The sequence below is a fragment of the Homo sapiens genome, chromosome 2, assembly GCF_000001405.40.
Source record: "Homo sapiens chromosome 2, GRCh38.p14 Primary Assembly".
In the NCBI taxonomy this organism is placed as follows: domain Eukaryota; kingdom Metazoa; phylum Chordata; class Mammalia; order Primates; family Hominidae; genus Homo; species Homo sapiens.
The window spans coordinates 69,000,921-69,026,078 of NC_000002.12; the positions used below are offsets into that span (position 1 = coordinate 69,000,921).

The window sequence follows — 25,158 nt, forward strand, 5'->3', positions numbered from 1 at the left end:
TCAAAGATCACATGGTTGTGGGTGTGCAGTCTTATTTCTGAGTTCTCTATTCTGTTCCATTGGTATATGTATCTGTTTTTATGCAGTACCATGGTGTTCTGGTTATGGTAGCTTTGCTGTATAGTTTGAAGTCAGGTAGCGTGATACCTCCAGCTTTATTCTTTTTGCTTAGGATTATCTTGGCTATACAGGCTATTTTTTGGTTCCATATGAATTTTAAAATAGATTTTTCTAATTCTGTGAAGAATGTCAATGGTAGTTTAATGGGAATAGCATTGAATCTATAAATTACTTTGTGCAGTATGGCCATATTTAAGATATTGACTCTTTCTATCCATGAGCATGGAATGTCTTTCCATTTGTATGCTCCCTGATTTCCTTGAGCAGTGGTTTGTAGCCCTCCTTGAAGAGGTCCTTCACCTTCCTTGCTAGCTGTATTCCTAGGTATTTTATTCTCTTTGTAGCATTTGTGAATGGAAGTTCATTCATGATTTGGCTCTCTGCATGCCTATTATTGGTGTATAGAAATGCTAGCAAATTTTGCACATTGATTTTGTATCCTGAGACTTTGCTGAAGTTGCTTATCAGCTTAAGAAGCTTTTGGGCTGAGACAATGGGGTTTTCTAGATATAGGATCATGTCATTGGCAAACAAAGATAATCTGACTTCCTCTCTTCCTATGTGAATACCCCTTATTTCTTTCTCTTGCCTGATTGCCCTGGCCAAAAACTTCCAACTTTTATTTTAGGTCCAGAGGGTACATGTGCAGGTTTGTTACATGGGTAAATTGCATGTCTTGGGGGTTTGGTGTGCAGATTATTTTGTCACCAGATAATGAGCATAGTACCCAATAAGTTGTTTTTTGATCCTCACCCTCTTCCCCCGATCCACCCTTCAGTAGGCTCCAATGTCTACTATTTCCTTCTTTGTGTCCATGTGTACTTAATATTTAGTTCCCGCTTATAAGTGAGAACATGCAATATTTGGTTTTCTGTTTCTGCATTAATTCACTTAGGATAATGGCCTCTAGCTCCATTCAGATTGCTGCAAAGGACATGATCTCATTCTCTTTTATGGCTATGTAGTATTCCATGGTGTATATGTGTGCCACATTTTTTCCCTTTATTTTCCTTGTTCTCCCATTCTATGATTCTATTATTCAGATGTTGGACCTTCTGCATTTGTGCATTATTTTATTCACATTTTTTCTTCTCTTTTTCATTGCATTGTCTTTTTTGCTCTACTTCCTACAAAAAAGTCTTCAAGCTTATTTTTCTAATATTCTGTTGTGTTTTTTTTTCAATTATACTATTGTGTCATAATTTCTCAAAGTTCTTTTTTTATCTGAATGTTCCTTTTTCTAGCATTTTTTTAATTTTATGGATGTAATATCTGCTCTCAAAGCTCTGAAAATAGCAATTTGGGAAATAAGCTCTTCTTTCAACATGGTCTCTGTTACCTCTAAGTGCTTTTCTCTGTGTGTATGTGTGTGTTTGTCTCAATCTTTTATAACACAGTCTATATCAGTCCATTCTCACACTACTATAAAGACATACCTGAGACTGGGTAATTTATAAAGAAAAGAGGTTTAATCAGCTCACAGTTCTGTGGGCATACAGGCTTCTGCTTCTGGGGAGGCCTCAGGAAACTTACAATCATGGTGGAAGGCAAAAGGGAAGCAGACACATCTTACATGGTGGGAGCGGGAGGAAGAGAGAGAAAAGGGAGGTGCTACACACTTTTAAATAACCAGATCTCATGAGAACTCACTCACTATCACAAGAACAGCAAGGGTGAAGTAACACAATCATCTCCCACCAGGGCCCTCCTCCCACACTAGGGATTAAAATTGGACGTGAAATTTGGGTGGGGACACAGAGCCAAACCATTACACATCCTTTCTATGAATGTGTGGTCATTATGGTTCATCTGTTCATGTCTAAGTGTGGGAACTGATTAGAAGCTCAAAGTTTGTGAGTGGAGCTTGTCTTCTTTAGGCTTCTTTGCAGAGTGACTGGGCTGAGTCAGTCATTGAAAAAGCCCTGATGTTAGTATCTTTAGAGTTTTTTTCTTGGGATGACAAATTCCCAATAGAAAACATTTCATTCTCCTGCCGGTGCCACTGCACTCCAGCATGGGCAATAGAGTGAGACTCCATCTTAAAAATAAAATAAAATAAAATAAAATAAAATAAAATAAAATAAAATAAAATAAAATAAAATAAAATAAATTCCTGCCTGGAAGGTAATGGTCTGGCTGCCAGCACTCATGGAGATCAGTGAGGGAATAGAGCTGAAGGTCTGAGCCTTCAGCATTCAGTACATTCAGTACTCCTCTATTCCCACAACTCCCCTATTTTCAGTAGAGAACTGATGGCCTCAGCTATGCCTAGCATCCCCCAGTCCAAACCCTCTGTTTTATTTTCATCAGAGAACGACATTCCAATCTTCTGCTGAGGTTGAGGAAGACTGACTACCCAGAGAGCATCTGGGGATCTAGCTGCTTTTTAAAGAGCTTTCAATTACTTTCTTTATTTTAGCCCCATGCTGTATCCCTCAGTACCAGTGATTCTGCGGTACAGATAAGGAGGGTTCACCACTTTTCCCATTGTCAGGTTAGATGCAACTTTCCAGCTGTTAGATTTGTATTGACATTGTTCCCTCTTCCTTTTTCCCATCCTTGTGGGACTCGTTATTGTTGTTGTTGTTGATGATGATGATGATGTTTACTTCCAATACTTTGGTTTTAGTGAGATTCTGAGAGAGAGCAAACTTAGATGGGTGTGTTCCATCCACCATCTTCACCTTGATACTTCACACACTTTTCTGCTCACTGAAATATAAATTATTCTCCCAAATTTCCACAAAGCTTCTTGCATGAAGATCACTAAAGAACTCCTAACTGCCAAATCTAATGAACAGCTTTAAGTTCTTATCTTCTTGACCTCCCTACGCCAATTGATATTCATGACTATTCTCTTCTAGAAATGCCTGTTTCACTTCTTGTTTCCTCTTTCTATGTCAAGCTCTGTAAAGATGTTGGTGCTCCCCTGGGCTCCATCGTTGCCCTCATTTCTTATTACTTTCTTCACTTAGCCCAAGGTGGGATTTAAGCACATTCATAGCTTCAACTCATACATTCATGACTTCAAAAGCCCCTTAGCCTAGGCACAGTTCCTGTGTATAAAATTCATATAAGTATCTTCAGGATTATAATTTTGCAATTAAATATGAAGCAGCAGTATCAGTGAAGAGTGAAGGAGAATACACTGAAAATTTTGGAGAAAAGATATAAAGAGTACCAAAACAGAGACATAGATCAATGGAACAGAACAGAGCCCTCAGAAATAACGCCGCATATCTACAACTATCTGATCTTTGACAAACCTGAGAAAAACAAGAAATGGGGAAAGGATTCCCTATTTAATAAATGGTGCTGGGAAAACTGGCTAGCCATATGTAGAAAGCTGGAACTGGATCCCTTCCTTACACCTTATACAAAAATCAATTCAAGATGGATTAAAGACTTAAACGTTAGACCTAAAACCATAAAAACCCTAGAAGAAAACCTAGGCATTACCATTCAGGACATAGGCATGGGCAAGGACTTCATGTCTAAAACAACAAAAGCAATGGCAACAAAAGCCAAAATTGACAAATGGGATCTAATTAAACTAAAGAGCTTCTGCACAGCAAAAGAAACTACCATCAAAGTGAACAGGCAACCTACAAAATGGGAGAAAATTTTCGCAACCTACCCATCTGACAAAGGGCTAATATCCAGAATCTACAATGAACTCAAATAAATTTACAAGAAAAAAACAAACAACCCCATCAAAAAGTGGGCAAAGGACATGAACAGACACTTCTGAAAAGAAGACATTTATGCAGCCAAAAAACACATGAAAAAATGCTCACCATCACTGGCCATCAGAGAAATGCAAATCAAAACCACAATGAGATACCATTTCACACCAGTTAGAATGGCAATCATTAAAAAGTCAGGAAACAACAGGTGCTGGAGAGGATGTGGAGAAATAGGAACACTTTTACACTGTTGGTGGGACTGTAAACTAGTTCAACCATTGTGGAAGTCAATGTGGCCATTCCTCAGGGATCTAGAACTAGAAATACCATTTGACCCAGCCATCCCATTACTGGGTATATACCCAAAGGACTATAAATCATGCTGCTATAAAGACACATGCACACGTATGTTTATTGTGGCATTATTCACAATAGCAAAGACTTGGAACCAACCCAAATGTCCAACAATGATAGACTGGATTAAGAAAATGTGGCACATATACACCATGGAATACTAAGCAGCCATAAAAAATGATGAGTTCATGTCCTTTGTAGGGACATGGATGAAATCGGAAATCATCATTCTCAGTAAACTATCGCAAGAACAAAAAACCAAACACCGCATATTCTCACTCATAGGTGGGAATTGAACGATGAGAACACATGGACATAGGAAGGGGAACATCACACTCTGGGGACTGTTGTGGGGTGGGGGCAGGGGGGAAGGATAGCAGTGGGAGATATACCTAATGCTAGATGACGAGTTAGTGGGTGCAGCGCACCAGCATGGCACATGTATACATATGTAACTAACCTGCACATTGTGCACATGTACCCTAAAACTTAAAGTATAATAATAATAATAATAATAATAAAAGATATAAAGAAACATCTCAGAGAGGGATAAAGTAATTCAACTGAAGATGCATAGTAGGATTGCAGTTTATAAATCTGAATTCTAGCTGCAATGAAGACTAGAGGGTGTAGTTGTTTTAACTGTTTCTTAGGAGAATATGATTTATGGGTAACTATCAAAATGTGGAAAAAATATTCCAAATATGTCTACTACATATGCATAGCATATTGCTATGTATAGGATTTGGATTTTTTCCCTTGTTTTTCTGTTTTCCACAGTTCCTGAATTGACTATATGATTAAACACTGTGCTTTAAGCTGACACCATTACCTACCAAGGTTGTAATAATCTCCTGCCATACTTCTGTTTTATAATTTTCTGTTCAGACAGCAAATTAAAAAGCCTTCTTGTCTACCACCTGAGGTTTTTGCCTCTGCCTCTGAGCAAATTCGGTTTTTAGAGGACAGTATTGTAGGGCTGGACCTTTACTTCCTCCTTATTGGTCCTTGGATTTGTAATAATCTCATTGAGTTTTTTCCTGTATTTCAAGCCAAGATAGTAATTCCCCTATGCTATAAAGTCCCTTGGTCTTCTTTATCTGTTAATTAATCGACCCCACTATTTCTTTGGGTTAAGCTCACAATTTAAGTACCTACATTTATGACTACAATTAAGATTGCATAGCAGGTGAGTCTTCAACACTTGATGAAAAATATAATGAAGAGGAAAACAAGACCTGTGGTAGCAACACCATTCATGCCTTCAGCTCTCCCTATTTTGAGAAGAGTCTGCCCTAGCTTCATGAATCAACCCCTATCTCAGGGACACAGAGACTCTCTTATAAGAATGGTATATGATCTCCCCACTGTTACTTTGGCCACAGAAAGAACAAATGCTTTTACATATGAGGTTCCAGGATAAGCCTACTTCTTAGACCCCCATCTTGGACATATTCATTTCAGCCTGAAAACCTGTGCCAGAAATCTGACCCAGGTCTGAGTGCTCCCAAGCACTTCCCTAAGGTGTCACTGCTCAGAGGCAAACCCATCAGGTAAATGCACACCTTGTCACTAGCCACAATTCTGCCCCAAGCCCTTCTGTGCCCTGGTAAGTCATGATGGATTATGAATAAGAGTAAGCACCCTAGAGATCCCTTTCACTCAGACTGGAAGTGGCTTAATTAGCCCAGATCTTGGTCTCATTGCCACAGGCTGCTCCCTGATCACTTTTGAATATTCTTAGTGAAAGAATGTCTCATTACTAGTAGGAAGAGACATTTGTCATGTTTTAATTCATTCATCTTCTGGCACGAGTTGCCCTCACGAGTTGTGATCCAACAGTGCCTCACTAAGGAGTCCACTATATCAGAACTACTTGGGATTGGCACAGTGCAGTGATTGGAACATGCTGAGCTTCCTCTAAAAGACAGACTAAACCACGTTATTGTACCAACACCTGTTTTATGTGTTTTGTCTCCTAACTAAACTCTGTTAAGGTCCAGGTTATATTTATTTTTTTATCTTCAAACACAAGGCCTGCCATATAATAATAGATATCCAAAAACTATTTTCAAATGAATGAATGAGTTAATGAGAATGAATAATAATGGCTCTTTCCTATGAATCCCTAGGTCTCAACACCCAATATCAGAAAGAAGCATCATGCCTTATTACAATGTACTCAAGACATTCCACTAAAGCTTAGCTATCCAGCATTTTTGGCTAGCAGAAACAGCAGGGCTGCCAATAGATAATTGATATCCCCAAAGCATGTTTTCTATTTGTTTTCTGCATGCATCCTAGGAAACCAACAACTCCCAGTAGTTCCTGGGTGAGCTAGAATATTTATCTTTGCATTTTTCAAAGTTGATAATGTGAATGTCCACAGCAGAGAAATAGCTTTGGTTCACTGGTGAGCCACTCTGAATGTGGCTCTTCTAAAATTTTTTCTCATATCAAGAAGAAATTCATGAGCAATTTCCCAGAACCCTCCAATAACAATAAAAGCCAGCATTGACTGCATGCTTCCTGAGGGCCACACATAACATACATTATCTCATGGAAACTGCATAACAACTCAATGAGGTACATAATAATATTATTATCACCATCTTGCAGAAAGGAAGTTGTGGTATGGACAGGTCAAGTACCTTGCACAGTCACCCAGTTAAAACTGGTGGACTTGTGCTTTGCCCCAGATAGCCTGACATGAGGTTACAGCATTAGTCAGTGTGTTGTCCTGCCTAGGCCTCAAACAGTATATGGGAATTATCATCCATTCTACCTATTTCAAAAGATTGCATCAGGAGGAAGAGGGTCTGAAGCAAGAAGGAAACAAAATGGGTCACTTTAAGACTATTTAAAAGTATATGTGTTCCTCAAACCCCACATTCATTATTGACATTCTTCAGATGAAGGTACCTTGATAAAGCTCCACTGGTTATTTCAGACTGAGCAAATCTCTTTGTCCCCACCTTCACAGTACCCATTCCCCACATCAACCACAACACACACATACTCACGCATTTTGAGAACCACTAGTCCCTCTGGCTTGGGACTTGGATGGTGGCCATTAGCAAAATGATCAAAGGAGTGTTAGGCTTGATGGGTTGGGTAGATTTTTCCTGGCATCTTCAGTTGTAAATTGATCTGGTGTCTCCAAGTAAGACCCTAGTCTTAAATATGTTTAATTATGTCAGAATTGAGCAGAATTGGACAGGATTGGGCTGAATTGGTCTTGTGGCTAGATTTGTGTTGGCCTTGACTTGCTTAATACAGGTTTCCATTGGGCATTTGTACTCTCTGGGCTTGTCAGGACCCTGGACTGTACTGGTCCATTTCCACTGTCATCTGAGTTCTGAGTTGGATTGGCCTGGTCTCTGGTCTAAATGAAACGAACTTTTTGTTCAGCAAGTCTTTGGGTCCTTTTGAGCATCTGAAATGGACGTTTTAGGTTGTTATAAACTATGGATTACTCTTGACTGGATCCTTGGTAAGAATGTGCTCTTCAGAGGCTTGGCTGTGACTTAAGATGCACAGGGATGTTGTGTGGCCTTAGCTGAGCTGGGATGCAAACCAGATTAAACAGGATCTGCCTCTGGGCTGACAATGATATAGGAAATAGGCTGATTTTTTGCAGGGCTCTGAATTGGTCAGAGTTTGATTGGGCCTGTGTTGAATGGGTTTCATCACTGCATTGGAGTAGGTGTTAGCAGGGCTTTGGGATGGGTTTTGGAGTGTCCGTAAATGAGTCAAGGGACTTATTGAACTGAATTTATTTTTAAGGTTGACTTGGTTGGGCTTTGGATAGGGTATCAATGGGATGCTGAGTTCAAAGAGGTTTTGACTGTTTCTAGGCTGAAGTTGTGGCTGGCTTGACCTATAAGATACCATCAGGACATCTTGCTCTAGCCTATGGTTCTGCCCCTGGGCTTAATTTTATTACTGTATCTTTGCTTTCCCTATCACCAAAAGTCAATACTCAGCTGATTCAGATTCTTAAGACACTTTGTTGTTCCAGATGATTAATTGCTTCTGGGAACACTCACTTCACTTTTTGCCTATGGTGGTCCCAGAGACTACAGGATCCTCCAAGATCCTGGAAAACACTGGACCTACCTGACTGACATAAAACTTTATGGAGAGTATCAGATTTTTCCACATTGTGGCAAATATTTCTTCTCTAGGGAAAAAAAATTGTTTTTTACTCAAATTTTTTTGGGGTAGTCTGGGTTACCTGGAACCTTTTCTAAAATGTTAAGAATGCAGACAAATGGCACTTAGTGCCCAGTGAGTTCTTGACAGATTATTAGGACAGTAAACTTTGTGTTTGACAACCGGGGAAAAGGGCTCGCTCACATGTGTTTGAAAGTAGAGGGCAAGTAAGAGAGAGCGAGTTACTAAGAGGCTGATATTGTAGATAGGCAGGGCATATTTAATAATTACTGTCTCAAGGAAGGAAGCCTAGTAAATTCAGGTAGAACAGTGATCAGAGTGCAGGACTAAAGCCTTGAGACAATCAGTCTAGTCAGACAAACTCTCCAATCTTTTGGAAGGCAGGGACCTTGAAATTCCTGGTACCTTTGAATATCTTGGGATTCTTCCTTGTGGCAAATAAAACATTTGAACATTTACAAGTTACCCCTTATCCCCTTATCTTCTTGAAAGAGAGTTTTCTGCTTCCTGGTAACCCAGCACAGTCTAACATTGTTCGCATTACTTTACTGGAATGCTCCTTTGTGACACAGTGACACTTGTGCCAAATCACTGGAGTTTTCTTAGGGCTTATCCTCCTGACTTCCACAGCATATGGCTCTGTTGACTACTTCTTCCTGCAAGAAACTCTTTCCTGCCTAGGCTTCCAGGTTACCCTTCAAATGCTCCCACGTGCATGGTTAATTTTCTCCTGTACTTCTCCAAGTCCAGAAATATCCATCCACAGGCTGAACATCACCATGTATATCGTTCTTCCACTGCCTTGAATTAAAGAAGCAGAAGAGTCCCTTCCAAACCTCATGTATCTATCTTTATAGGCCTTGAAAAGGCTGATCAACCTCTTCCAGAACACTGGAGGCCTTGGAAGGCATTAGGAACCAGGACACTCCCAATCAAGTCAGAACACTGAGAATTACCTCAAGAGGATGGTAACATTTGTGTAGGAAGATCTTGACATTTATATGTCTCTGAGTTGTAAAATCATTCTGGAAAATGCTAGCAGGAACCCACCAAGACTCTCCCCAAGCCGCCTTCTAGCCTGCAGTGACTGACCCACCTCTCCCATTTCTCTACAAGCACTAATTATGAGGCCACTACAGCCTAACAAACAAAGGCAAAAGTTGTTGCCAATTTTTGACACCTGACAACATCCCCCGCTGAGCGAACATGCTGGGATCACAGAAGAGGCTTCATTTACCACTGTTATAGACTATGGACATCTTTGTCGTATTTAAACTCTCCCTGCGAATAACCATATCTCTGCAGCTCAACTTCAAGCTCACTTCTCAAGAATGTTTGGAGAACACCTCCCTACAGTGAGTGAGGCTGGCACAAAGCCCTCTAGGTAGAAGAGGCAGCCTGGAATGTATTTCCTCAGGCTGGAGGGAGAGCAGGGTAGAGGCATTTTAAGATCTAGAGATGGACTTCTTTCTAGAATCCTGGAAGAGAGGCAGAGGCACTGGGACACTCAAATATCTGAATTCCTCTCACTGCCTGTCTGCCCTGGAAAATACCATCTTTGTCCAGAGGAGCCTCTTGATCTTTCTCCCCTTCCCCATAACCTTGTTTCCCACAGAATATCCTCTCTCCTCCCACCCCTGGAAGAACTATGCCCTCATCTATCTTGGATAATGGTGTCTGTAACTTTGAAGAGCTCTATCAGGACACCCCCTGCTTCCTTCCGGGGTAATTTCCTAAACTATTTTGCCTGTAAAGCTCTCAACACATTCCTCTGTCACCTAAACTCTTAACAACTTGAGACGGCCCTGGGGGCATGACGGTGAGAGAAGATATTCTTAATGCTTCCCTGATTCATCTCACCCCTCCACCCGCTTTCCACATTCAAGCTCTTTCCTATTCCTTGCCAATCCCATAAACACTCTCTCCATCACATTGTCATATCCCTTTTCTTCTCTTACCAGCTCCCACCAGTGTTTCTGCTTTCCCTTACCCATCTGATTTCTATAGATTTCCTCACTGTCTTTCAAGTCATCGAGCTGCAGTGGGGTCAGCATGGGTTTTCAATCCTTTGAGGAGAAAGAAGACATGGAAGAGGAAGACTTGGATGGTTAGGGTATTTTAATCTCCCTCCAATTATTTTTTTCCTGAGAGCAATAATTCCCAAAGTATGGGTTTAATACATTTTATCTATGAAACAACAGTTTCATGGTCAAGTAAGTCTGGGAAACACAGTTCAGCAATTTTTTTCCTACAGAAATTCTCAAGGCTTTAATATGATACTAGGCATATATTAGTTATCTTTTATTATATTTAAAATTGCCCCCAAACTTAGAGACTTAAAACACTAATAAAAATTCGCTTATTTCTGTGGATCAGGAATCAGGGAATGGCTTAGCTGGGTAGTTCTTGTTTGGGATCTCTCATGAGGTTGCAGTCAAGATGTCAGACAGGGCTGCAGTCAGCTGAAGGCTTCACAGGATGTCAGGAACCTATGTCCAAGATGGGTCACTCACAATGTTGGCAAAGTGGTGTTGGCTGCCAGCAGGGGTCTCAGTTCCTTACCACACGGACCCCTCCTTGGGGCTGCTTGTGTGTTCTCACGACATGGCAGTGGGCTCTCCTACAGTGAGTGATCCAAGAGAGAAGGGAAAAACCACAACATCTCTCATGGCCTATCCTCAGAAGCCACACACCATCTTCTTAATTACTCACAGGTCAGTCTCACCCAAGGTGGAAGGGGTGTGAATTCCAGGAGGTGAGAAACACTGGGTTCATTTTGGAGGCAGGTCAGTGCTACGCATGACAAATCTTCAAGGCTGATTTGACAACATGATTATTGGTTAGTGGAGCATTCCAAGACACTAAGATTCCATGGTACACATGTTGGGGGAAACCACCATGGACTGTCACATTGGGGTATAAGGGTCTGGGAGGCACACAAGTGGAGGGGAATATGTGTGTCTGGAGGAAGAATCCTGGGAAAACAGTACATGCATATGCACTGAGGGCTCCCAGAGCGGAAGACAATAGGAAGCTAGAACTGGGGTACCACTCGGAACTGGGGCTCAGAGGCTGATTCTCCAATTTAGAGAGGCTAGCACGGAACTTCCCTGCCAATTCCAAACTGCTTGGAGCGTCTCTACTCTTGTAAGCTGTTTACTTCCTCCATCCTAAATCAAAGATAGAGAGAAAATGTCAAAGTTCACAGGCTGAAAAGAAGAACTATTATCATAGAATCCCTAAAAGATGGAGATGGTGGCCATCTAGAAGGCTCAGCTGTTCCATGCCGGGAGCAGCCCTAAGTACCACACTCTGTGGGGTTGTTTGTGATGGTTTCAGACCGGACCCCAACAGTCTCTTTTATGGTCCAGACAGACTAAGACCATGTAAGGTCACTCTGATGACTCATACCACAAAGGTCCCGTTTTTCCCCTACTTCATCTGCACAATGGTTTGTTTGCAAAGGTCCTAGCCTGGGGAGCCGGAGTCACCGTGGTTGGAGGAAACAAATTCTCATCCAATGTTTAGTGACCTTATCAAAAGATGCAGGATAGGGAAGGAAAAGAAGGAATAGAAGGACTACAGAGAATGGAGAGGCGGTCACGGAAAAAGAAAGGGAAAGTGCGTGGGAAGAAGGAAGGAGTAAGAAAACACGCACAGCTCACATGAGAATGGTAAGGACAAGGAAATTTATACGCGAAGCCTGGAAGCGCCCCCGCCCCCGACGCACTCCCGCGGGTCCCACGCGTGCTTTCGCCGCCTTTGTCCACAAGGTGGCAGCCTTTGAACTTTCTTCCCCGTAAGAACGCGAAAGGGGGGCAGAGAGGAAGGAGAGAAGGCAAAGCACTGCCCCCACCAAGAACAATTTGAAACCCCCCCCCCCCCCCATCATATTTAAAATCTGGGACAAAGAACCGTCGGGACGGAACTCCTTCCATTGCAAAAGCTCGGCGCGGCCTCGGGAGCTGCCCGGCGGCCCCGGACCGAGGCAGCCCTCCCCTTTAAAAGAAGCGGAGGACAGGATTGGGATCCTTGAAACCCGAAACCCAGAAACAGCATCGGAGCGGAAACCAGAGGGGAAACCTTGAACTCCTCCAGACAATTGCTTCCGGGGAGTTGCGAGGGAGCGAGGGGGAATAAAGGACCCGCGAGGAAGGGCCCGCGGATGGCGCGTCCCTGAGGGTCGTGGCGAGTTCGCGGAGCGTGGGAAGGAGCGGACCCTGCTCTCCCCGGGCTGCGGGCCATGGCCACGGCGGAGCGGAGAGCCCTCGGCATCGGCTTCCAGTGGCTCTCTTTGGCCACTCTGGTGCTCATCTGCGCCGGGCAAGGGGGACGCAGGGAGGATGGGGGTCCAGCCTGCTACGGCGGATTTGACCTGTACTTCATTTTGGACAAGTAAGTGCCGCGAGTTGTCCCCCCCACCCCAGGCTAAGCGGGCGAAAACGCTTTCGCCCCGGGCCGGGCTCGTTGGCAGGGTCGCCTGGGGACAGGAGCGCATCTCCAGGGCCACAGAGGGACCGCGCGGCAGGCGGCGGCGGAGTGCTGCGCCTTTGTTGGGGCGCGCTCCTCCCAGCCTCGGCTCCAGAGCCCGCAGCCGAGGCGACGCCGCTTGCTCGGAAGGGGACAGACTTCTTTTCTGTCTTGCTTTCTGTGTCCCAGGAGCAGGCAAGGGGCTTGGAGGATGCTATTGTCTTGCTGAGTTTCTGTGACTCCCTCCCGTGTTGGTGGGAAAGGCTTGCTTACCAAAGGCAGAACTTGCAGGCACAGGCACTCCTAAAGTTAGAGGCTTGGGCATTTTAAAGCCAATCGTCGCATTTTGTTTTTGTTTTTGTTTTTTTGTTTTGTTTTGAAACGCTGTCCCACGGAAGGCATTATCTTTGCTCCTAATCATGTAATGCATACTTCTCACCGGGCACTGAGTGAGAATGAAAGGCAGGGTTTCTTAACCTTGGCACTTCTGAGATTGAAACCTGGTAATTCTTTGTGGTGGGGGCTGTCCTGCGCGTTGTAGGATGTTTAGCAGCATCCTTGGCCTCTGCCCACTGGATGCCAGTAACATCCCCCGCCCCCCACTCCTTCCTTATTAGTGGTGACAACTAAAAATGCCTCCAGACATTGCCAAATGTCCCTCCCCTTCGACTTGAGTACCCCAGATGTAGTGAATTCAAGCTCTTGGCCATTTGACTGGTGGGCTACCAGGGAGGTGCAGGAGCCCTGGTTTCCTTGCAAAAAGTGGTTAGGCTTTAGGATTTGCTCAAGGGAGAGCTGAATTCTGACCAATGAAGCACTTCCCAAATCCGCATAAGTTTGCCAAGCCACAGTCACCCAAGGAAGCTTCATGCTATCTGCTGAAAACCAGCTTCAACGATAAAAAGCCCCTCACAGAAGATCCGTGCTCATTAAAACTGAGTGAGCTCTCCAGTGCCAGGAGAGGCGCTTTGCTGTTACAGTGGTGGGGAGATGGATTTCACAGACTGGAAAGTATTTAGGAGTTGGAAAAAGAGTCCTGCAAAATAAGCTGGCTAGCTAGACACCAAATGTGCTTTGCAGTTGCCCCTGGAGTTTGATTTTTCCGTAAAGGCTGTTTTGAACTCCAGATTCTTTGGATGAAAAGTGAGATTTCTTTTCTGCAGATTTATGAGAAGGTGGATACTGAAAATATGCTCCAGTGCTAAGGAATGGAATTTCTTTTGTTACTTCTAGTGGCTGGAAGCATCAGCTCACAGACTTAGAGACAGTGCATGAAAACAGTCGGAGGTGCTCCTCCTCCGTGCTTTTTTAAAAAGCCAATTCAGAATGATATTCAGGAAAATCTAAAAAAAAAAAAAAAGGGGGACAGAATCACCATGTCTCTGAATGGATGACTGTAGAGATACTATAGAGATATGGATACTGTAGAGATAACCAGTTTTCCCCAAATTAATTTAGAAATTGAATTCAACTTTTCAGTCAAAGTTCTGAAAGAGTTTGTTTTGATGATAAGAATTTAACAAAATGATTCTAGGCTTATCTTAGCAAAAAAAAAAAAAACAGGTAAAAAGAGCTGAAACATTTTTGGAAAAGAATAATGAAGCCATATTCTCTCTCCAAATATTAAAATGTATTATAATGTAAATTAATAAAAACAGGATGGTAAAGGCCAAAGAATAGGTGGATAGAGTAGAAAATCTAAAAAGACAAGTACATGTAGATCCAAACACATGTAAACATTTAGTGGAATTTCCAATCAGTATATAATGATTCATTAATTTAAAAAAAAATGGTTCCTGGACAAGTGATTGATAACATGGAGAATGAAAAAGGTTAGATTTATACTTTACAAACCATACACATAAATAAATTTCAGAAAGGTTGAAAATCTAAATATTTAGAATGAAATGATCAAAGAACTAGAAGATAATTTAGATGAATATTACTGTAATCTTAGGTTTAGAGCTTTTAAAACATGATAAGGAAGAAACCATAAAGGAAAATAGAGATTTGAATATATTAAAATTTTACACTTCTATAAATGAAAAATAAGCCATGAAAAAACATAAGAAGTTACAATAACTATTGCCACATAAATCACTCTCTTAAGATTGATTTTCATATATAAAAAGCAGTAAAAGCAAAATCCCAATAGGAAATAGCCTAAGTGCATAATTCACAAGAGAAAAAAATATGAGTCAATAAATGAACTAAAAAGGTCGTTATTAATCAAAGAAATGAAAAAATCAAACAATATGATTTTTATTAGGTTGGCAAAAACTTTTTTAAAAATTACAATATTCAGTATTGGCCAATTTGTGGGAGATAGGCACTGTCATTTCTTACTAGGGAAAATGTAAATTGGTGCAGTCTTTCTAGACTTGCGCTGTCCAGTAGAACTTTCTAGGTCGGTAGAAAAGTTCTATATCTGTGCAGTTCAATACAGTAGCTACTAGCCATATGTGACTCGAGCACTTGAAATGTAGTTAGTGCGATTGAGGAAGTGAATTTTTAATTTTATATAAGTTTAACTAATTTGAACTTTAATAGCCACATGTGGCTACCATACCGGATAGTGCAGACAAGAAGATAATTTGGCGACACATATAAAATGCTTTTAAAAAATGAGGGGTGTTCCTTTCCATCGAGCAATTTCATGTCCTAAAGAAAAAAAATCCAAATAGTCACAAAGAAGTACCTACATGTATGTTTATGGAGGTGCTGTTTATAATAAAAAGCTGAGGATTACATGTGTCTAACAGCAGTGGATTTACTAAGGTATGATATGTGTATAGTATTGAACCTGCATTGCATGTTATACAAGCTTGTAAGCTATTTTAGGAGAAATACATAATTCTTAACATACTATACACTTTTAGATGGAAATGCAATTACCAAACGTCATCTGCGTTATGATTCCACCTGTTTAAAAAGTTAAACACACACATGTGTATGTCTCTATTTACCAATATGGTACTACTATTTGTCTCTAGCAGGTAGAATTTTAAATTTTGTTTACATGTTTTTCTTAATTTTTCTGTACTGAACATACATTACTTTTATATTCAACAAAAATAAGTTATTTTGAATTTGTTTTGAAAATCATGTCAAGTGGGTCTCTAAACAGTGTGCTCACTTCCAAGCCCCTTGCTGTTGTAAAGGATGCTGCTGCTTTTATATTTAATCCTGGAGTAAATGTCTGAGTGCATCATAGGATTCTATGAAGCACATTGGAGACCCAAAAATGCTCCAGGAAAAGAAATGGTGGGGAGACCTTTACAGACATTCAGGTGGATGCCTCTGACTTCCTTTAGCTGTTCTGTTGCTGGAAGAGAAGGATATTTTTGTGCTGAATGAAAAACTTGCTAGAACTTGGTGCGGTAGTGCACACTCCACCAGCTTACCACCTCCATCCAGGCTAATTTATGAGATTGATGAGTCCAGAGCTAGGGGATGGGCCAAAACGCAGTGGTGGCAAACAGACCCCTGGGTGGTCGCTAAAGACATGATCTTCTGTCCTAGAGAGAACCTCCTCACACAGTGCTGTCCAGCACCCAACCACAGCCAGAGTGGAAAGTGAAAAAATGCTGACTCATTTTTTCCTTGGGCTTCTTAGATCCTTTCGCTGGCAAGACACTGTCTACAGTCTGAAACCGAGGGATCATAGGGGACTGAATCCACCATTCTTCTCCCAATCCCTGCAACTCCTTCTTCCCCTGCAACTGGTTCTCTTTTCCCATGACATTAAATCTCAGCTCATTTCAGCTTTAAGCAAGCTGCATCTCTGGCCTGGAGGGAACCCAGATTATACATTTAATGGAACGTCATGTTTTCTCAACCAGGAGCAAAGACTTCATAATGATAACCTAGAAAATACCACAGTAACACAATAGGGCATTATTAGTGGCTTTGGCGACTGGGCTGGTGGACTGGGCTGCACAAGGCTTTATACTGATGGAATTTCATGTTCACTTAAACATGCTTTTCTGGTTATAGTCAGGAAAAATAGATTGCTGGGAATTCAGTCGGGGATTTGAAAAGTTAGATTTGGAAGGCTCTGTTCAACAAAAAGCAAAGAAACAGCTAGCCTCTTTTAAGTCTTCCAGGGGATCTTCCAAGATGAATGCACCCATTTGACCAACCCACAGACATAACTACCTTCCCTCTCTCACAGCACCCCCCCACCCTCTCTTATTACGTATATGTTTATGTATTACATATTGGACTATTTTACATGGAGCTATTAGTCACTTGAATGGAGATAGTGGATTCTGCATCATGAATCTCAAGTGGCTGGCTATGTTATGTGTGCCCTGAAGACTTCAAAAATAGAATGTGGGAAAGAGAGCAGGAGGAGTGGAGATGGTGGTCTGGAAGGCAGGAGTAAACGCTGAGCAGCTTTATTTATAGGACTTGCCAAAGCCACAGCCTGTCATTCATTTTCTGCACCTAATAAATCCTTATATGTCTAAAGGCCCCCCACAGGCTCACCATGTGCTCCTTCCCCGTAAGACCTCCGACTCCCCCTGCCATTTCCCTTCTGTTCGGCACCAGTTTTCTTTTTCTTCCACTGTACAAAGGGATTCCATGTTGCCACTCCCCCAGAGTTCCAACCACAGCACCCACACCTGGATGATGCCCTGCTGGTGCTGATTTGCAGGACCACTGTTATGTGTTGTACTCCAGGGACAGGATCATCAGATAGATTTTTGTAGCATTAGGCTGGAAATTTCCCCATCAGGTATAGTACTGGCTTTTTTCTGGGAAAATATCTTCTGAGTTCCCAACTACTAACTTACAAAAGAAATACTGGATTGGGAACTTGTGTGAGTCTTGCAGACTCATGCTCTCTCACAAGGGTCCCAAAGACAACCTTGTTTGGTAGGTAGGGCGAAGCATGACTGTCCCTAATTTGAAGATAAGAAAACCTTTGTTCAGTCCACTGGGTTAAGTGACTTGCCCAAGGACCTAGGATTAGATCACGACAGAGCTAGGACAGTGTCTGCCCTTGACTCCCAGACCAGCTCTTTCCACTCATCTTCCCTGTAGAGTTGGGCCATAATGAGAAGCACATGGCAATACAACTAGAGGAACTGGGTAGATTCCAGGAATTCAAAATCCCCGCATCAGAGTTTCAGTAAATCATGGTGCATAAGGCGATTAAAGTTACTTAATTGAGGAGCTACTACTCTGCTGTTAAATCAGCTGTAGTTGATGGAAAGTATCAGGAACTCCAACCCCCTGCAACCCAGAGAAATGCTCCAGAGATCTAGGGGGTTAATTGATGAGTCAGACTTTAAGGTGTGTTCAGGACATTTTATTATGATAAATTCGTAATTTGTTCAGACTGAATCTGATAGAAAAAGGAAACTGAAGTCTGTAAATATGCTAAAACACACAGATGTAGCTTATTTTCAGAAATACATTGGAAGATGGCTTAGTGTCTGCAAAATTGGCTCTGAATAAGGAAAGCAAAGAGTTCAATAGAAGGCACCTTGAAGGTGCTACAATCAGATATTTTTTATATTTTTGGATTTTAATTCGTATAAGTCTTGTATATTTATTGTTAATTTCATTCCTAAGTATTTGATCATTTTGGTTATTGTAATGGGAAATTTTCTTCCATTTTAACTTGTTTGCTCTTAGACATATAAAGAGTATAAGTATCTGTGTTGATTTTGTTGTGAATTATTTTACTGTTTCAAATAATTTCCTAGTTGATTCTCTTGGGTTTTCTGGATATATAATTATATAACCTGCAAATAACAATTTTATCTCCTCTTTTCTCATTTCATACTCTAATTTCTTTTTTTCAACTTTTAAGTTCAGGGGTACATACAAACCTGCGCATCCTGCATATGTACCCCTGAACTTAAAATAAAAGATGTTAAAAAAAAGAAATTACATAAGAATGTGTCATGGAGTTTTGTTGTACAGATTATTTCATCACCGAGGTATCAAGCCTAGTACCCATTAGTTATTTTTCCTGATCCTCTCCCTCCTGTCACCTTCCACCCTCCGACAGGCCCCAGTGTCTGTTGTTCCCCTCTATGTGTCCATGTGTTCTCATTGTTTAGCTCCCACTTAACAAGTGAGAACATGCGGTATTTGGTTTTCTGTTTGTGCATTAGTTTTCTAAGGATAACAGCCTCCAGCTCCACCCATGTTCCTGCAAAGAACATCATCTCCTTTTTTATAGCTACATAAAATGCCATGGTGTATATATACCACATTTGCTTTGTCTAATTTATCATTGATGTGCATTTAGGTTGATTTCATGTCTTTGCTATTGTGAATAGTGCTGCAGTGAACATATGCATGCATGTATCTTTATAATAGAACAATTTATATTCCTTTGGGTATATTCTCAGTAAAGTGATTGGTGGGTCGAATGGTATTTCTGTCTTTAGGTCTTTGAGGAATTGCCACACTATCTTTTACAATAATAATTTTAAAGGGCATCAGAAAAATAGTTATCAGGGGCCAGGAATTTCTTTTATTATTATTATTTTTGTATTGAGGTGGACTTAATGCTTGGTTTTAAATGCTCCTCTAATTAAGTTCCACATTTGGAGAAGGCCTTTGAGGCCAGGCAAGAGTTGGTAGAACTGCCTGCAAATTGGATAGTTTGGCATATGGGTCAAAAATAAAAATAAATAAGGCAAAACTGTTTTGTTTTGTTTTGTTTTGTTTTGTTTTGTGTTTCTGTCTGGGTCAGCCAAGTAACTACCTCTACTTTATTTAGCTGTGGAGACCTGGTTAAACTCAGTGTCAAGGAGTGTTGGAGGAAGGCACCTGTCCCAAGATAACCTGTAATTATGTCCAAATGCTAAAGGATTCCTAGTGGTCCAGAAACAAATTCTGGGATCAATTAGGGAGACTTGGCTGTCACATAAATGCAAATGGGATTTGCTCTATGCTAATTTAGAATGTGTGTCTATGTTTGGTATGCGGCCAAGAGACTGGATCTTGCCTCTCCCCCTGATTACTCTGCAATAAAAGACAAAGAGAATATTTAAACATTTGTTGACACGTTTTTCAGACACGTCAGGTTCATACTGAAAAAGTAATTAGATTTCTCCAATTTGACTCAGCAGATTCTTCCATTCATTTGGCATAGATGACATACTCAGTTTTGATCACAAGTGTGTACTCCAATACATGCGTGGATGAAACAATGCCTATTGCAAGCAATGTCCTGCTATGGGAGGTAAAAGGAATGCAAAATAAACAGGAAGAAGTCCCAGGCTGTCAGGTTTTTATGGAGAAAAGTTAGAGGACTCTAGGCAGCCAGAGCTAAAGGCTTCAGTGAGGATTTGGGAAAGGGGCCAAGTAAAGTCAATTTTAGATCAGTAAGAAATAAGAAGTAACATTTACTGAACCCTTGCTACCTGCCAGACGCTATAGTAAACACTTTGCCTGTATGACCCTGTTTAGTGTTTACAACCCCCATAAGGTCTGTACAGTCATCATTACCATTTCACACGTGAGGAGACCGAGGTTTAGAGAGGTTACCCAAGGTCACTCTGAATGGTGAAACTAAGTCTCAAACCCAAGCCCCTCTGACTCATAATCTATGCACAAAGTTAAAAAGAATCTAAATATGCAAAAGAACATTGAATCAATCAAGGTAGGTCAGGTTATGCTGTGATAACAAATAACCCCCGAATCTCAGTTACACAAAACAACAAAAGTTTTATTCTCTGCATATACTACATGTCTGATAGGAGTCAGCAGGGCTCTTCTTATGGTGATGGTTCTGGGAGCCAGGCTGGTGGAGATTCCTTCCTGATACCTCCTGCCACCATCAAGGCTGCGAGGGAAGAGAATGCTAGATGATGTCTTGCTGGCCATGAAATGCTCCAGCCAGAAGTGACGTGCATCCTTCTCCTCACAGCCTGTTGGTCAGAACTGGTCAGATAGCCTCACTTTATGGAAAAAGACTTGAAGAATAATCCTCCATGTGCCTAGATGGAAGGGAAAGCCAGATATGGGTGGACAATAAAAGCTTCTACTGAAAACGTATAATTATAGCTTGCTTTGGCTTGAATAAGCAAGAAAGAAGTAGCCATTGAGAGAGAATAAAGAGATAAGACTTCTGGAGAAAGGTCAGTTTTGAGCCAAGTCTTGGATATACAGCATTCATCAACCTAGAATTACTGTCAGACGTGATGTTTCAAATATGCCCAAGAGGCAATGATAGCTCCTTCTCTTTTCCTCCCTTCCCCATTCTCTGCATACTTTAGATGAAATATTCAGTGAGGTGGGCGGGGGATTAAATTAGATTAAATGGAAAGTAGAAATGGAGATTAGACATGCTCTCCTGCCACCTAAGTATTACATGAATATATTTGAAAGATAAAACTCTCTTTTTCCATAGTTTATGGAATACGAGGGAATTTGAAAGGCTGGGGAAAGACAGCAGCCCATGGAACACAGACCACTGCAGCAGCAGAGCTCAGAGGATGCCTGTACACTGCAGGGGCTGATTCTGAGTTTGAATCAAGAGTATCTGGGCTCCTACTAGTGCTTCTCAATGAGGGTGCTGTTAGCATTTTTGATGGGACGGTGTTTCATTGTGATGGACTGTGGGATGCTTTAGCATTCCTCATCCTTGCTTTCTAAATACCATTAGCCTTTCTGGTCATTGTGATGACCAATAAATAACAGCCTCTATACTTATTTCTAAGGTTGGTACCACCTTGGTTGAGAACTCCTGACTAAAAGAAGGCAGGGCAGAGCAGGGTATGCCATTGATGTTGATTCCTAGCATCCAAGAACCACATCTGGGCATTTGTCTGAAGGAAGAAATTGGGAAGCTTCCATGATAAAAGCTCCAGTGGAAATTGTAGACCTTGGGAATGAATATGCTAAACTGAGGTTCTCAACCAAGGGCCAGATCACAACTTCAGAGGCCTGAGGCAGACGTGTATTTTGGAAAAGCTTCCCAGGTGATTCTGATTCAGGTCCCTCCCTCAGTGAGTCATAAGACTGAACAGGAAGACAAGAAAAGTTGCCCCATAATGATGGCTCATGGTTATGGCCTTATGATGAGGATATAGCTGAGGCAGCACACACCTTGGAGCTGGGCTATAGGCAGAGCTCTTATTTTAGATGGTGGCAGAAGAAACCACACACAATATGAAGGCAGAAGAGCAAAGGTCACTGAGAGGCCATGTTTTGCCCTTCAGTGTTGCCAGGTCCTGCTGTGTGTACATATACATTTAAGCCATGTTGTTTACTAGCCAGGACACTCCTTTGCTTCCTTTCTCATAAGTCTCCCTACATGAAATGTGCCTCATGGGAATGCTTAACACAGGGCTTAAGAAGGCCACCTTCGGAATCAGGCATCTGCAGCTTTAAATATCAGCTCAATGCTTCAGCAAGCATTGTGACCTTGGGCAAATTATTTAGCCTCTCCGAACTTCAGTATTGTTAATAAAATAGGCATTAAAATGTCTGCCTCACAAAAGTGTTGTAAAGATTAAAACCTTTAATTAACCATTTGGCACATGAGTGCTGAGACGATAGATGGTGATGGTGATGGTTATGGTGGTGGAGGTGGACGTGATGATAAAGATGATGGTGATGGTAGTGGTGATGGTGACAGTGATAGTGGTGATTATGGCAATGTTGATAGTTGTGATGAAGATGATGATGGTGATAAGGATAATGGTGATGGTGGTGGTGGTGATAGTGATAGTGATGATGATAATGGTAGTAGTGATGATAGTGATGGTGGTGGTAGTGATGATGGTGATGGTGATATGGTGGTGGTGGTGGAGGTGGAGATGATGATGATGATGATGATGATGGCAGTGGTCATGGTGGTGGTGGTGTTAGTGCAGAAACAGAATATGGTCCTCTAACAAAAGATGCCTCCATAGATTCCAAGCAGTACTGCCTGGCTAGGATAAGGAATATATCAGTTCAATATTTATCAAGCTGTGCTAGAGTTCTGGAATCAAAAAATGCCTAAAACAAGTGCCAAGTCTCAAGGAGCTCAAAGTTTTGTAGAAGACATGGGGAAACAGTGAAATAATTTAATTTTGGTTGAGATGAGAGGGACTTAGGAGGCTTCATAGAGGAGGTGACTTTGGATCTGGAACTTGGAAGTTGATCAGGATTTTGTCAGGTGACAAAGTAAAGAAAAAGGCAACATTTAGGAAAGCAAACTAACACATACTCTTTGTAATATGAGTGTGACAGGGAAATAATCTGGAAAGAGTTTGGATTTTATTCCATCAGGAATAGGTTATGAGATTAAAGGTTTCTAAGGACAAAAGTGTCAAGCTTATGTATGTGTTTTAGAAATACATATCTATCATCTATGTTTGCAGTGAGGATGAAGGAAAAAAATAATAAATGAGACTGGGGGCTCTTTTGTATTAAGGATCAGCAGGATTGGATGAGCCACTGGCTGTGAGTGAATGGGAGAGGAAAGGGTTGCAACAGTAAGGAGCAGGCATCAGAAGGAAAGAGAAGTTGGTGTGGACATGCTGAGTCTGAACATGTAGGGCATGTGCATGGAGATGTTGAGTAGGCAGTTGGCTTGATACCCTGGAGCTGAAAATAAAAACTTGAGTGTTGTAAGCCCAAGGGTAATAGTTGAAAATGCAGGTATGGATAATAAATAATATCAAGATAATATCAGGATTTTTAAATGCCCAGAAGAGGTGGAGTTTGAAGAGGAAGATGGCCAAAGTCCAACCCAAAGGAATTGCTAACAGGAATTGTCTGGGCAAGAGAAGAAATTACACTAAACAGAGCTGAGAAGAAGCAGAACAGTCAGAGAACCAGCAAAGAATTGTATTAGTGAGGCAAGGAGGGACAGAATTTCAATGGGGGGAAGGGGTGATCATTCAGATGCTTTCTCCTGAAATCATCTCCTCCTCAATTTATGGTCTTGGTGAATGGTGGCCCTATAAGTCCAGCTGCTTAAGCCAGAGATATGAGAGTAATCTCTTGTTCACACTCAAGTCTGATGATATCCACTGCCATATCTCTCCCAGGTTGACCTTGTACTCTACCTTGTCATTGTCTTAGCTCAGGCATTCACCATTTTCACCCAGTTATTGGTCTCTTTGCTTCATTTCTTTACCCCTCTCCCCACCTTGTATTCTTGACAATCAATTCTAAAATTGATCTTTTTAGAACACAAATCTGATGTCGATACTATCTTCCCTCTCACCTCTTACCCCTTAGACATTTCCGAAGCTCTTTCAGGATAAAGTGTAAACTCTTCAGCAAAGTATGCAAGACCCTTATTGCTCAGGTCACTATGCATTTCCAAAACTTCATATCTTACCATATCCCACATCTTTTTAATTTTCAAAAAACTGTACTGCATAGTTCCCCAAACTAACCCATGCCCTCTCTTGCCTTTGGCTCTAATGCCCTTCACCACCACACCCATCTTTACCTAGGTGATGCCTGCCCATTTATCCTTTGAGACGATTACTAGTGCATGGTCCCCTTCTATTACTAGTTGCGGGCTCCCTGTGGTAAGAAAAAAAATAATAATAAGAACAACCACTTTTCTATGTTATTTCTTCATTCAAAGTTCCTTCCTTATTCAGAATCTCCTAACCCCATAACAACTCATATTGCATGACAAGCAGTGGAGTGGTCCATTTTCAAGAGATGGAGAGGAAAAACCCTTAGTGTTTGTCCTATGGGGTTTCATCCAGTGACCTGACCTGTTTTTCCCCTGATGCTTAATGATATGCAGCCCTAATTAATAAATACCTGTAGAGACCTCCTGGAAGATGGCTTTCCCAACATCTTGATTGCAAAAGGATTATGATCAGAATCATAGTCAGCCTACCATCGCTCTTGACGTTAAAAATAATGCAGATTCCAGGTCTGCAGAAATTATATAGTAAATAAGAATTCTATAGCAAATAAGAGAAAAGTGAAGACTCCTAACTGTAACTTTAGACCAGTCACAATAATAAACAATATAAGGTAAAATGAAACTTCAGATGCTATTAGACAACACTAAGCATAAATAACCGTTAAAGTTCATTGTTAACAGAGTGACCAAACATCCTAATTTGCCCAGGACAGGCCTGGTCTATGCTTGTTGTCCCAGCATAATTATGAATGTCTTCTTCTTTTACTCTCAAAAGTTTCTCAGTTTGGATTTTAAATTATATGGTCATCCTGATTATTAACTATTGTAAAAGACAATATCAAAAGGAAAGGGGATTGAAGGTCAAACAGGTAAAGCAACTTGCACACTTTGTTCCATTAAAATGGGCAGCCATTTCAGCACTCCTGCTTCCATTTAAGTGCTCTAATTTTAAGTCTTTTCTGGAATCCTCACTCCCAAATTCCCGTAACAATTAGC

At 41.3% G+C, this 25,158-nt stretch overlaps 1 protein-coding gene across 6 annotated transcripts in view, besides 2 other annotated features; it reads left to right on the forward strand.

The window, feature by feature from the left end:
• The window catches only part of ANTXR1 (ANTXR cell adhesion molecule 1), a 236,184-nt gene continuing 223,249 nt past the window's right edge, over positions 12,224-25,158 (forward strand). For 4 of the 6 annotated variants that reach the window (NM_053034.2, NM_018153.3, XM_017005077.3 and 1 more), the window contains exon 1: positions 12,224-12,731. In NM_053034.2, coding sequence (NP_444262.1) covers positions 12,580-12,731 — 152 coding nt within the window. In that variant the 5' untranslated portion in view covers positions 12,224-12,579. The remainder of the gene's footprint in view (positions 12,732-25,158) is intronic. The other 2 variants (NM_032208.3, NM_001410840.1) reach the window with 1 other exon arrangement.
• Positions 24,738-24,907: an enhancer, noted in NCBI's record as "experimental_59282 CRE fragment used in MPRA reporter constructs". NCBI's record gives its function as "activates a minimal promoter by MPRAs in K562 erythroleukemia cells, with activity observed for the introgressed 2:69252875 or rs80039118 variant allele {active_cell/tissue: K562}" and the evidence as "EXISTENCE:reporter gene assay evidence [ECO:0000049][PMID:34662402]".
• Position 24,823: a transcriptional cis regulatory region, noted in NCBI's record as "Neanderthal adaptively introgressed variant 2:69252875 (GRCh37/hg19 assembly coordinates) or rs80039118 in the experimental_59282 CRE". NCBI's record gives its function as "modulates activity of the experimental_59282 enhancer by MPRAs in K562 erythroleukemia cells {active_cell/tissue: K562}" and the evidence as "EXISTENCE:reporter gene assay evidence [ECO:0000049][PMID:34662402]".